We start from the raw sequence: 14,273 nt of genomic DNA, 5'->3' as shown, positions 1-14,273 counted from the left end.
TTATACACTTATGAGTTGTATAAATACTGCTTAGAAGAATATTGCCAACCACAGATATAATTGTTTGTTAATTCTGTATTATAAAATATGCAATAAAATTTGAGTGCACAAAATTCCCCCAAAATCCCTTCAAGAGAGGCATTTGATAAAGATAAGAAGGAGATTCTTTTGAATTTTAACCTGATTCTTCTTGTCTTATTTAATATTCAGAGCTTATGATCACATCCACATATATTCACATCTCATTTTGTTTACCACTAAGAGAGTGACTTTGTGCCACTGGAATAAGGATATACAATGATCATTATCACAGCAAACGAAAACCTATTATTTTCAGCTCACTTTCCTCAAGATGAGTTACTGCCCTTTGGAGAGATAGCTTTATATAACGAGATCTGGGAATTTTTCTTAACTTAGATAGCAATTAATAAGACTGAAATTCTCCATAATAAAAAAACTCATTTCAGGAGGAAAATAACTATAATTAAATAGAATAACTAAAGAAGCATCTGTCTTTTATTTATTTTTTCTTGCAGGACGTGTAAGGAAAATTTGTGAATATACGTGATAGAAAATTCATATGCCATGTTACTGAAAGTGGGACTATTTTCTGCAACACTTCAGCACATTACTGGTGTATGGGTGTGTGTTTCTATACAGAGAACAGTATTAGAGATTTCTGAAGGTGTTCCGTTAGGAATTAAAAAGTAATTTGAGGGTCAGAGAATATAATACTGCTAATCATATAACTTTTATTAATAAAAATAGTGTGTTAGAGTCTGATCAAGTTGGATTCACCTAATTAAAATTAGTTTAAATCACAGTCCTTTGGTTTTTCACTCCACCAAAAATAATTGTAATGTGAAATGTCAAGCCCTCTCATTTTCATATGCAAGGCAGAATGAGTGCATTTTTAAAAATAGTTTATCGAATGAATGCCTTGCTAGAAACGGATATCTTGACATAACAAAGGCATTGTTCCTTTCCACATCTGTTAACTTTTTCAAATCAAATTGCAATATTTTGAAAAAGGGCCGTTTAAATGTAAATAAGACTCCAGATAACACATGCAGTTATTTGTTACACTTGCTGCTATTGATAATTTAGGAACAATGTTAGAGGGAGGGAGGGAGAGAGGAAGAGAGAGAGGGAGAGGTAGAAAAAGAGCGGACGTGCAGACAAGCAACAATGAGAAGAAAGCAACCACACTGATGAGACTTTTGTCTCATTCTGCCCCATCATTTTTTCAGCAACTTTTGGCTAAAATCACGGCCTACATTTCTATTATCTATACACTGAAAACAATGAAACAATATAATGCTGGCTTAATCTAGCCAAGCAAATTAGAAAAGCTCTGGTTTCTCCCAACCCATTAAAAAAAATCAGCTGAGCACTTTTACACGGTACTAATACAAATAAGGTACAGTCTTCACACTACAGTCCATGGAGAATGAACACACATTTTAAAACGTAGCAGTAGAACAACTGGAGATATGCAAATGCTATTATGGCAGCACACAAAAGGGCAACCAACTCAGATTAGGCCCAATCAAGGACATTTTCAGGATGATAGTGCTGACTTTTGGGAGCTGAACAGGGATTAGTTAGTCTCGGATGGAGGAGTGAAAGGGCTGCAATCTTCCAGGCAGAGGGAACAGTATTGGCAAAGGCACAGAAGAGGGTGGCTGCTGTATAAAGAGGCGTGGCTGTAATGCTGTGTTCTTACTTCCTCCCATTTGACATAATCAGCAAAAGACTGAGGGTGTTTCCCTGCTCACATGGTGCCTTTTACAAGTTGGAAGAAATTGTCCTTTCTAGACATATGCAGAAAAAGTAAACAGACTAGACACCCAGGGACTTCATGGAAAAGAAGAGGGTAAACTGGATTCAAGCCCTCAATCTTCCCCTTCCCTGAGTGCCTTTGTGCAGTGTACAAACTGCACAACCACATATGAGTGGCCTCTTGACACCTCAACTGGAGTCACAATTTTGCTAACAGTACTACAGGTAGGTATAACTGCCCCTCCTCTGTTATTTCTGTAGCCCATGCTCTGCATTCAGGACCCAAAGGCACAAGGAGACTCACAAGTGAATAGAAGGTCCCATGAGCATAGTAAGCAGAGGGGTGATTAGACTTGATTCGAATTCAGACATTCTGAAGCAGACAAAATCTAAATGGGATTTTGGAACTGAAATTTAAGATACAAAAAGGAATTTCTTTGATATCTAGTATGAATCTTGAGGATAAAACTGTAGATGAATTTTCAAAATATTAAGCAATTAGATTCAAACACCTTCCACATTTTCAGTGGCAATTGTGAGATTAGTCCTGGCTTTTGACCCCTCTCTCATCACTTAAGGAGAAGTTGTTAAAAATTTGCCAGCTGGGGAGCGGGGAGGGCTTAAGAAGTCTATGTATCCCATTAAGTTTCATGTTGTCCTATAGAATCCACCAGATGAACTTGCCTGCCTTTTTGAAATGCCTTCTCCATAATGTATGACATGTTGCTGAGGTTACAAACTTATTCTGAAAGTAACTTAGTGTCCGATCAGGCAGGTATCCTCAGCATTTGACTCACTTTTAGCTCAACAGTCTTTTTAATTGCTCTTGATATTCCAATTGCTTACTTAATCTCTTTTAGCCCTTCAAGATTCTGTCTCTTTGTTATTTTTGTTCTCCTCTTGTCCAGATGATAAAAGTCTAGAATCTTAGCAAAGGTATCATCATGAATACCTTCTCCCCTCACTCTCTGACTCTTTTTTTTCCTTTGTTTAAATCATTCCCCAGCAAAGCAGTGATACCTCAAAAATAGTGGTGTTTTGGCCCTAAGTGAATGTTTTCCAAGCTGTAACTAGTGTTCAACTTGTGACAGAATACCAATCCATGTTTTGTTGTATCTTGTTTGGCCATTCCCCTGTTCACTGTTTCTCTTCACCCCCTCGATTCAAGAAGCAAGGCCATCTTGTGCTACATGTTTGAATGAAGGGATTTGACAGGGCAAAAGGCAGAGACATAGGAATCTGCCAGACCCCGAGCTCTGAAAGCCACCAGTTCCACAAATGTAGCTCATCCTTTTTCAAATAGAAAATGGGATGGATTTGGAAAGGCAGATGGAAAAATGATGATGGTAGAGATGTTGGTGGGTCTTAGCATGGAATGAAAGAAGCTGAATGATTCCTGTGCCTCTAAGAATGGAATGAAAGTAGTTGAGAGACTTTCTAGACCTGAAAGGAAAGGTAATTAGGAGGACGGAGAAAAAGGGATAGGTCAGCAGAAACATGCTTGGGTGAAATACTCAGTACTGGCTGGCCCTATCACATGTCCCCTTGCTCAACATATACACACAGACATTATACCCTCCCCTCTACCCTTGCATATAAGGCCTTTGGTACTAGGTAAGCTTAATAGAACTTTGATTCTAGCTGGGAGAGAGGAGAAGAAAACAACTTGAAATGGGCTCAGATTATGTTTCTAAGACCTCACAGTTCCCACATATAGAGAAAGGGGTCTCAAAATAGAAATTAAATTGTGATAAAGACTATAAAGTTATAACTCTTGTCCCACCTGAGCTGTAGTCTGAGATATATTCTTGCTATATAGTTAAAGCAGAGGGTTTATGGCCACATAAGTTTAGGAAATGCTGAGCTAAACAAATTGAACAGATTTCTTAATTACACACTGTAGGACATGCCAGAACTTTTAACATGCAAATGGATGCTTCCCAAACTCATGTGATCACAGAATTCTTTATTCCAGGAACATCTACAATTTGGGAAATGTTGATTTAGTTTTTAAATTCTGGTCTTATTTAGATGATGTGCATAAGCTGATCACACAAATCACTTACAGAATGGTTTTGATTACAAGATTTTTAATGCAACCAGTATCTCCTCCTTACCCTGACCCTTATCTTCCCTCTCTTCTACTTCAACAGGCACATCTCAAACAAAAAATGTTTCCCTCATATTTTAGATCTATCTAAGGTGTTCTTTTGGCTTACATAAATACAATGAAATTATAAATCTTAAATATTCCTGGAAAACCCTAATCTAAATTCTGGCTAGAAAAATATGGTATCAACTGTGGAAAAACTTGAGCTGGAGATAAAATATGCCATTCATTACACTGCATATGCATGTTGCCATCTTCTGAATCAGATTAATACAGATTTTAGACAGGAAATCATACTTTCTGTCAGGTATTTCTCTCCTTGGTGATTTTTACTATTCAAATGGAATTCTCCCAAGAATACAAGCAACCATCCTCACTTGCATTAAAGAAAGATGTGAGGTGCTGAGGGCAAGGATGGGAAAATGCATCTATTTATATCCAATGTCTAGCCTTGTACCCAGCACATGGTAGTTGCTAAACAGATGTTTGTTAAATAAAATGTAGGGTTTTAAATTATAGATGGTTCAGAAACTATTGTCTAACATGTATAGGGAGTATAGTACATAAAGCAAAGCAATATAAGTACATCAGAGATTATGCTCACCTAGATAAGTGGATTTAATAGCCTTGTATGACAGAGCAGCTGTCATTTTCCAGTTGCTAAAAAAAGGTTGCCTGTAGTGAACTGGGGGGTTTAGGCACTTGATGTAAATCTGTCTTGGCAATGATATGTTCTCCTATTATAGTAAGTAATATGCACATGCCTTTCTTTAAACACACACACAGACACACACACACAATTAAAGATATCTAGTTTCTTGATTGCAAATAAATGCTGCTTGTTTCATTTTTTTTTCTTTCATTCCTAATTTACAGATGCTTCCATACTCACAAATAGTACTTGTTGCTGCTAGGAACTGTCATTGGCACTTTGTCCACAGACTGCTAGTTGCTAGCTAAATTCTCTCTGGGTGATAGGCTCCTGCTTCATTAATTTTATGCATCCTGGTTGAAACAGGGGTGATAGCTGCCAAGATGACAGGAAAAGACGGGCAGAAACAGCCCTCTTCAGGGTTAGCCTCAGTGATGATGAGTGAAAGTAGGTCACTTCCTTTGCACCCCTCCCTCCCAGGAAGGGTGGCAGCAGGGACTATTTCCAGTGCTGAAACCAGAGGGAGGTTTTTGTTTTTGGCAATGATGTCAAGGGGGAAGTTTGTATCACTTTTATGCTGAGGCTGAATATATAGAAGAATTATTTCTTCAAAAACATTTCAGAAGGAAATATAATCACACAAATTACATAAAATAATACTCTTGTTTCTGCTGCAAAGCAACCCAGTAAAATCAACAGGAATTAAAATACTGGTTTAGGAGCAATTAGAAGAGGATATAAATCATGATAATAAATTACATTTTGTTTCTATTTTCAAGTATATTTAAAGTAAATTATGAACCACTTGCTGAACTATGAACTATGCATTTAAGCTACATTTTAAGGACAAAAAGCTAATTATGAAAAATAAATGGTGCCTACACAGACAGTAAGATAAATCTTAAAGTGCATGACTTTCCACTTGAGCAATGCTTTCTACAAAGATTGTAGGTTAATACTTAACCTTTAAGATTAAAACATTAATCAGATATTCTCTGAGTGAATGAAGATTTATGAAGCAATTTCTGAAAAATAAATAAATTACAAAAATATAATGCATTTGTTTGACAAGTGCGTTGAGAAACTTTATTTCACCTCATTGAGTGTGGCCTTTTTTCTCCAAAGGATGATGCAAAGGATGATTGTATCTGCGGTTTTATAACTCCCAAGGTAGAAATCATTTTGCAAGACAGTGTAGTATACTCTTACCTCTCACAGCGTGGTCCTGTGTACCCGACAGGGCATCCATCACAGATCAATCCAAGACTCCGGTCTAAATGGCACGTTGGGCTAAAGCTATGTTGATGTTGTTGCGGAAAACAGGGACAAGGAAGAAGGACATACACAAAGTCATTAGCATTTTCTCATTTCTCTCTCTCCACTACTGCTCTGACAAAAGAGTACAGGCTGGTCATTCTCACCCCAGAGACAGAGATTAGGGTCTGGCCAATGGAGGATGAAATGACATTGCTATTTCTGCAGACGTGAATATAGCCCAGTGGAGAGCAGTATCCCTGTGACATGTTATTAACTGACTTTCGACTGCTCTGAGTAGTGATCATCAGTAACAAGTGGAAATGTATAGCTGCTTTTTAGAAATTCCTCCAGGCCTGGCACATATGCAGCCTCACATACTTTCTTCTGTAGCCAAATCCCTCTGAATTTGAAGCAGCCTGGAGAAATTTGTTAGTGATTTTGGAAATCTCAGTATGTGGTAGTGGTGGTGGCAGTGCTTCCTTCTTCAGCTACTGCCATAGTGGGGCGTGCCTGTGTGCAGGCTGCGGCATGTGCTTCCTTGCAGGTATGCCCTCACACTGATGGAATCCTCAGGAAAGCTTTCAGAAGAGATCAAGTGTGCATATTCTACCTAAACTTATCATAAACCTAACCAAACAAAAGCAACCTTGCCATCTCATACCCTCTGGCATGTTTCAAAATTCACTTCTCTCTTTGCACATATTTCTAATTTGGGTCTGAAGCAATAGAGCTGAACACCAGATGAAGAACCAACAGAGAACTCAGGTGCTAGCTTTAGCTTTCAGCAACATGTTTCACTCCAGCCATGCTTCTTTGCCTTGTGAGAGGCACCTCTCATACATGAACCCCTACCCCAAGATTGACACACGGTAATGCGTTCTCGACTGGCTCTCTGAAGGGCCATCAACCATTTTGAATTCTGTAAGGTCTGTTGCGCTACCGTTTTAAAGGGAAATGCCCTCAATTAATCTTTCTCTTATTATGTTTTCCCTAAGTAGATTTGTTTTCTATTATATATGACAGGGCAATTCAATAGAGACTTGCTTGATGGCTAAATGAATTAAAGACATAACAACAAATTAAACATTCCAAGTCCTGATTTGATCCTGCTCCTGACACTTGAATTACTTTGAAATACTTTCTTAACTTTGGTGCAGATCAGATCATGAACACTATTTCTGAATAGTATTTCTCTGGCTTAACTCAGGGTAGTTCTGTAAAGATTTAATAGTTCTTCCTATTTTTGGGATACTAGCAAGGTATTAGGACCAGGTAAGTCTATCATTTTAAACATTTCAACTCAGTGGAAAGTCTAAATGAATCTGCTGGGTCAAGGAGATAAAGGCTGGTCTGGGATGCTTTGAATTTATAAATATTATCTGGATCAAAGATTCCACATTAAGGAGTTCTGGTAGCTGTGATGAACAGCAGACAAGACATACCCAGCGTGTGCACTGCGAGTAAAGAATCTCCTTTTATAAAGCATCCTGTACTTTGCTACGCATGACCCAAAGACAGTTCACTATGGGTGATTTTCTTGACGGGATTGTGATTGCACTGAAGATGCACAGGTTAAAATAAAATAAAAAAAAAGGATTTCCTCTCATCCACATCCGGTGATTTGCTGTTACTGTTTTCAGACATAAAAGTGAGAACTGCATCTCTGTAGCATATATATGTCTTCTTTGAAAATTGGCATTCTGTAACTATCTCATCATCTACTGAGAAACTGACTCCAACCAGAAGCACTGGGTTTCCCACCTCTGTGGGACTACACTGATTGAAAGAAAACCATACCAATTGTTTTTTATAATCCTAAATCAGTTTATCATAACTCTTGTCAATGGTGGTTGACAAGGCTTCTGACATTTTTAAAAATATTTTATTTTATTTTATTTGAGACAGAGTCTTGCTCTGTTGCCCAGACTGGAGTGCAGTGGTGCAATCTTGGCTCACTGAAACCCCTGCCTACTGGGTTCAAGCGATTCTAGTGTCTCAGCCTCCTGAGTAGCTGGGATTGCAGGCAGGTGCTACCAGGCCTGGCCCATTTTTGTATTTTTAGTAGAAATGGGGTCTCACCATATTGGCCGGGCTGGTCTTGAACTCCTGACCTCAAGTGATCCACCTGCCTTGGCCTCCCAAAGTGCTAGGATTACAGGCATGAGCCATTGCACCTGGCCTTGACACTTTAAAGCTATTCATAAAATAGATTTCAGATTCTTAAATACACTCACATGTCAGTTAAAACCAACATAAGTAAAAGGTGCTCACTGACAAAAATCAACACTTTTTCGAGAAAAAAATTAGGCAATAAAAATATGTTAAATTTGACTAGCTCCTTACAGTTCAGAATACTTTTACAATTTTATCACATTTTCACAAAATCCTATGAGCTGGTTAGGGCAGGCACAGTTTTTCTTAACCAAGGTCATATACAAAATTTCCAGGAGAATTTAGTATGGGATCTAGGACTTTAGATTCTTAATGTGATATTCTCTTCTTCCTATAACCAATTGTCATTGAAACCTACTGGTAAGAATTAAGTAAGTTTAAGTTTCTAGTAATATAGATACTCGACATAACGCATCCAAATAAAACTTTCTCATAAAATATATCTGTATTTGTGCTTTGATATTCTTTCAACAACATAAACTGAAGATTCACTCTCTTATTGCTGTAATTGCAGTTACAGCTATGGCAGAAGATGGCATTCAACAACAAAAATAAAATTAGAGTGAGAAATAAACATGCACAATAAAAAACATCTACAGAATTTGCCTTGGCAAATGCAGTCACTTAGCACTAATTTTGGCCAAGACATGAAGCTAATTGTTCCGTGACACAAAGAGGAAATTGTGAGATCATCATTGACCTCAAGTGATTCCAAGATTATGTCATTTAACTCTATTTGGCTAGCTCCACACCAGCAGAAAATGTTCTTCATCCCGGATTATCCAAACCACGCCACAGGAAACACAAGAAAGCCAAGAGCAGCGGGCATTTTCCACAAATAGGGGAGGAGGGGAAGCTGTTATTGGGATAACCAATAAAAAGCTGGACATGAAAATAATCCCTCTTAATGGCTGAATATATACTTTTATTTTTATAATCTACTTATAAGCATGTATATATGTATGCATATATATGTGTACATACATGTGTATACATGTGACTATGTCAACAATCTATATATGTTTATGTATGTGAATGCATACATAGAGAAACAATTAACCTTGTTCTAAAAAGAATTTAATTCTATCTGTCAAAATATGTGCATTAAGAATAAAGCAAGGTTAAAGAGAAAAAAATACTAAAAAAAAGATAAACTTAAGGGTGTATTTAGAATTCAAAATGCATGTTATAACATATGTTCATTTGATAAGGGTGGATCAACATTTGGCTTTGAGGTTTTTCACAGCTAATGCAAAAGGGAACAATCAACAGGTAAATGATTCAGAGCAGCCAGAAGCCAAAAGCAAAACAATTGCTCAATAGAAGCTCAACAATTCCTGATTATCAGACATTAGGGAAACTTCTTCTGTGGGTCCTTCTGTGGGTCCTGAAATTCAGTTCTAACGTTAAATGCTCCCACAGAGAGTTAATCCAATACTCTAAAATAAAATTAAACACATATTAAGTCAATGTGTGAGAATATTTTGTGTGTCTTTAACTGTCATGCATTTGAAATAAAATATAATGAATTGCTTCTTGGGATTGTATGTGATATAAAACAAGCACTCCTTTAATCATGGGTATAAAATTAAAACTTCCATCATTAGGGTTAGAAAATCAGGGCATGTTCTGTATTTGCATACACAACAGGGGATCAGGACTCCTTTCAACTAATTATTATCTTGAACAGTTGGGTAGGATAAGAGAAACCATTTTGAGTGGCTACACAATGTCAGTGGAGAAGCTGGAGATGAGGGTAATGAGAATATTCACACATAACTGAAAAGGGGCAGGGACTGAGAGGAAGAGGAGAAAAAGAAAAAATTCATTTACTTCATGATTTTGGTGTTAGCGTCATAAATTTCTGAAGTTTCTAAGTATTTTCTTCTTCAGTTCAATGATCTCTCCTACTTATTCTCAGGAGAATCATTAAGCAAACACTTATTTCTTTAATTACCTTTAAGTACTATGAAATCTGATTTAATCTCCACAATTGCATTTCTTAATTAGACTTGATTTATTTTCTAAGTATGTCTTTGAACGATATATTTCTCTAAACCTGTTTCCCATTCTGCAAAATGGAATAATATGATTGATTTGATAAACCCTTTTATACTGAAAAAGTATGAAAGCATATTGCCATAATAAATTATAGATACGACTTATTAATTTTTTAAAAAACTTTGCCTTTTTTTTTTTTTTTACAAATTTTTAAACAAAATAAGATATGTTGATTTAACGTGAAAGGTATTTAGTTAATAGTTAAAGAATTAAATCTGCAGTTTTCTCATCCTGCTCTAGTCCCTTATATTAACATAGCTGTTAATATAACTGTAACTATGTAGCATAATTAACATAACTCTTGCCAAACAGTGAAGATTTACTGATTTTTACAGTGAACATTTACAGTTTGTCTGACATTAAATTCTATTGATTTTTTTTTGCTTCTTTTCAATGTTTCTGTAATTGTTTCTATTACTGTAGCCCCATTGGAAGAAGCACAGAGAGGTGAGTCAAAATATATGAGTTCCAATATTGGTTCTGCCACAAGCAAGCTGTATAATCACTATCAAGGCACTTAATTTCTCTGAACTTTAGTTTTTTCCTTTGGCATATGGAACCAGGAAGACCCATCATAATCTCCCATGTGCACATAAAACAATGTGTAGGAAAGAGCACTAAAACATCTAGAGCATTCTCAATTTTCTAGAGAATATGGCTGAATTGATTGTTTCCTTAAATTTACCTATTGTCTTGGAATACATTTCTCTATATTAATTTTAACAACGTGCATTCAATATGATCTCTTGAGTGAGCCCAAAGGTCAACTCAAATTTGAGTTTCATTCTTTCAAAAACTTAAATTTCAGCATTCCTGACCCACACAAACCAGTAGTATTTACAGTGATATTAGTAGATAGAACTTATTGAGGTCCTATCTCTGTCCAGCCTTGTGCCAATAATATATTTTATTATATAACTGATGAAAATCTATAACAACTTCAATAATATTATATATTCAAACACATCCTAAGTATTCAAAGGCAGAGATTCACATGTCTCTTTCATATTTTATTTAACCTATAAGCTATGTGATGCCAGAAATTAAAGAATATAAACATTCGAAATAGTTACATTGTTATTTGCTTCTCTCCAGATAACTTTTACTGCCTAGTTACAACCTATAGCTAGAATATATACATCAACAAGATGAGAAGGCCAAGCATAGTGATCACCATAAATAGTTGATGAAGTTGATATATATGTATAATTTAAATATTATATGCTTCTCTGTATTCATACATCATAATAATTATACCAATCTATCTCTATCTTCTTACATATTTGATTTATTTAGCAATATTATCTAAGAAATTTGGAGCCAAAATGCTTGTGATCTATAAGATTTATGACCAGGGATTAAATAGATAAATCACCAAGGTAAAACTATCACTAAGCTTTAGACTTCCCATGAAGGTTGCGTCAACCTTTAGCTCCCTTTTTTTTTTTCTCTGAATAACCTGTGGAAATTAAAATCTCGTCTTCAGGATTGTATGCAAATATTCAATTCATATCTCAGAGTTTCTAGCTCACATTATAACAGTAATGTTTTTTATAAAATATTTTTAAAAAGGATAGTTTCCCTAGGTCATTAAGTGTCTTGTTTAGTGATTTTTTTTTTAAACATTTCAGGTTGTTAGATGAAAATGGATTTTTCTCATCACAGTTGTGCAACTAAACCATGATAATTTTCTAGTTGTTTTAAATGTAAAATTGTTTTAAATGTAAAATTGTTTTAAATGTAAAAGACATTATAACCCTCTCACAAAACTTCTAGGATTTATAAACTAAGTGAATTATCACTGCCCTCTCTTTCTACTTGTTAAAATACCACATTGAAAGCTGGAATTTAAAATAAATTGCTATTCTAGTCCCAATTCTACTGCTAGAAGTAAAATTATTATTTAGTAATTTGCTAATTTTAATATTTTATATTAATATTTGATAATTTGGTAATTATTAATATTTACTAATAATTATTAATTGCTTACTCTAAGTGAAAACATTTTGAAAATGAAAGAATCATTAAATACTTGGTGTTACTGGTATTGTTATCACTGTGTTATATGCATTTTTAAAAATCAGGATCAACGTAATTATACCAAATTAGAATATACATCTTTTAGGAAATAATATTATTGGACACTGGAAACCCAATCCCTTTGGCACTGATGGATTGTGTTTTAATGCTTGCAGACTTTCTTTCTTTTTCAGGAACAACAATTAGAACCCATTATCCAAGTAAATGCACAACAAATAAAGAGACAACAATGGGTCATGAATGCCTATAATTATCCAAGCAAAATTATCTCCCTAATGTTTCCTCTGCATTTATAGTAATGTTGGTCAGACTTGAGGGTAAATCCATAGGGTTTGCATACTCAATCAATTATATAATTCTAATATGTATTCAGCTGGAATTCACATGATGCAATGGGCAGCCAGCTCTGCTGGATTGATAGTGGTGCTAATGCTCATGACATCTTGGCTGAGAAGGAGATGCAATACGAGTGGCCAGATGCAATACTTCTGCTTTCCTCAAATGCAAGTTAGTCGTGAACAATGAGTTTCATGTAAATGAAGATGGTTAAGAGAATGCCATTCAGCCATGGCAAACAAGTAGGTCTTCCATTGGGTGATCTAACCCTTCGCATATATACCAAAGTGCAGGTTTTGTGTCATGTTATGACTATCATAGGCTTGAGTAGCCTTTAATTATGAAGGAATATATTTCATTTGTTCTCCTATAGTAATTATTTTCCAACAGGTTTCTCTCTTGCCTTCTTCCTCTTCTCTAACATCCTTGGTTGTTAAAGAATCTTCAGTTTTGAGCCCATTCAGGCTCATGCCTTAGGCCCTGGAAATGTTCTGATCACTAACATACATTAACCAGTGGTCCCCAAAATTTTTGGCACCAGGTACTTCTTTTGTTGGAGACAATTTTTCCACAGATGCAGGGGAGGAGTTTGGGATAAAACTGTTCCACGTCAGATCATCAGGCATCAGTTAGACTCTCATAAGGAGCATACAAGCTAGATCCCTCGCAGGTGCAGTTCGCAATAGGGTTTGAGCTTCTATGAGAATCTAATGCCTGCCTGATCTGTTAGGAGGCTGAGCTCAGGTGGTAATGCCAACCACTCACTTCCTGCTAGGCAGCCCGGTTCCTAACAGGCTATAGATGGTTGAGGACCCCTGCATTAAACCAATGTCTTATTTTCTCAAAACCTTGCTAGATAAATTGACTTATCCAATGAATTAATTACTGCTTTTAGTGTTATCACTTAAAATGCAGTGTGTATTTTTTTTTAAAGAAGTCTTCATTGTAGACCGTAGAGATTTGGAAAGCACATGGATTTTAAAACTAAAATTCCAACTCTGATACTTTAATACTTTATGACTCTGAGCAGGTTAATAACAATCAGCTCTTAGATTGGGTTCATCATATCCAGTCACAGTTTAGGTGGTTTACACATTTTAATTATGTCTTTCCCACATCAACCCTATGAGAGTCCTATTATAACTAATGATGACAAAATTGAGGCACAGAGAGTTTCAGTGACTTGCCTAAAGTGGCACAGCTGGAAAGTATGGAACCCAGCATTTAAACCAAAGAGTCTGGCTCCAGAATTGGCATCATAATGCCATTTTTCTACTAATGGCCTTCATTTCTTAATCTATACAATGAGGATAATAATATCTACCTTACTGAGTTATAGTTGAAGGTGAAATAATACCAAATACAGTGTTTGGCCTAGAATATAGTAGTCTGCTTTTATTAAATAGTAGTGCTTTCTCTTCTTTTCCAAACAATGAGTAAGGTAAAAAATTCTGAGTAAAGAAGGTCATTGGGAGGATAAGCATTTCATGTGGATTAACAGTAGGAAGCACAGTTTCAAGGAGAACATTTAAACTTAATGTTAGAATTATCTCAAAGTCTTTAGCTTATAGTATTCATTGAATCTAACAAAAGACCATTTTAATTAGGCGCATTCTGGGTAAGAGTTTGAAGTATGACCTACTTGATCACATCTACACATTAAAAGACTATAGCTGACAGATTTCCCTTAAAGATCATTGAAAATTTTTGCTCTGTCAGTGTTGTCACAGTGCCTAGAGATAGCTGGAAAGTGTACAATACGATATGAACCTTATTAAGCACTAAGCTCACCTTTAAGAGAGTTCTTCAGAAAATAATTTCCTTTTATTTAAAAGTATAGTTATTTATAATCACTTTTGAGTA

The 14,273-nt window shown here is 35.8% G+C and overlaps 1 protein-coding gene across 2 annotated transcripts in view; it reads right to left on the bottom strand.

Annotated features, from left to right (window-relative positions):
* Positions 1–14,273, bottom strand: part of LAMA2 (laminin subunit alpha 2) — a 633,429-nt gene that overhangs the window by 230,666 nt on the left and 388,490 nt on the right. For both annotated transcript variants that reach the window (NM_000426.4, NM_001079823.2), the window contains exon 18: positions 5,754–5,840. In NM_000426.4, coding sequence (NP_000417.3) covers positions 5,754–5,840 — 87 coding nt within the window. The remainder of the gene's footprint in view (positions 1–5,753; positions 5,841–14,273) is intronic.

Source organism: Homo sapiens, chromosome 6 (genome assembly GCF_000001405.40).
Source record: "Homo sapiens chromosome 6, GRCh38.p14 Primary Assembly".
NCBI lineage: Eukaryota > Metazoa > Chordata > Mammalia > Primates > Hominidae > Homo > Homo sapiens.
Note: the sequence above shows the minus strand (reverse complement) of the source record. Positions and strands in the feature narration are given on the sequence as shown.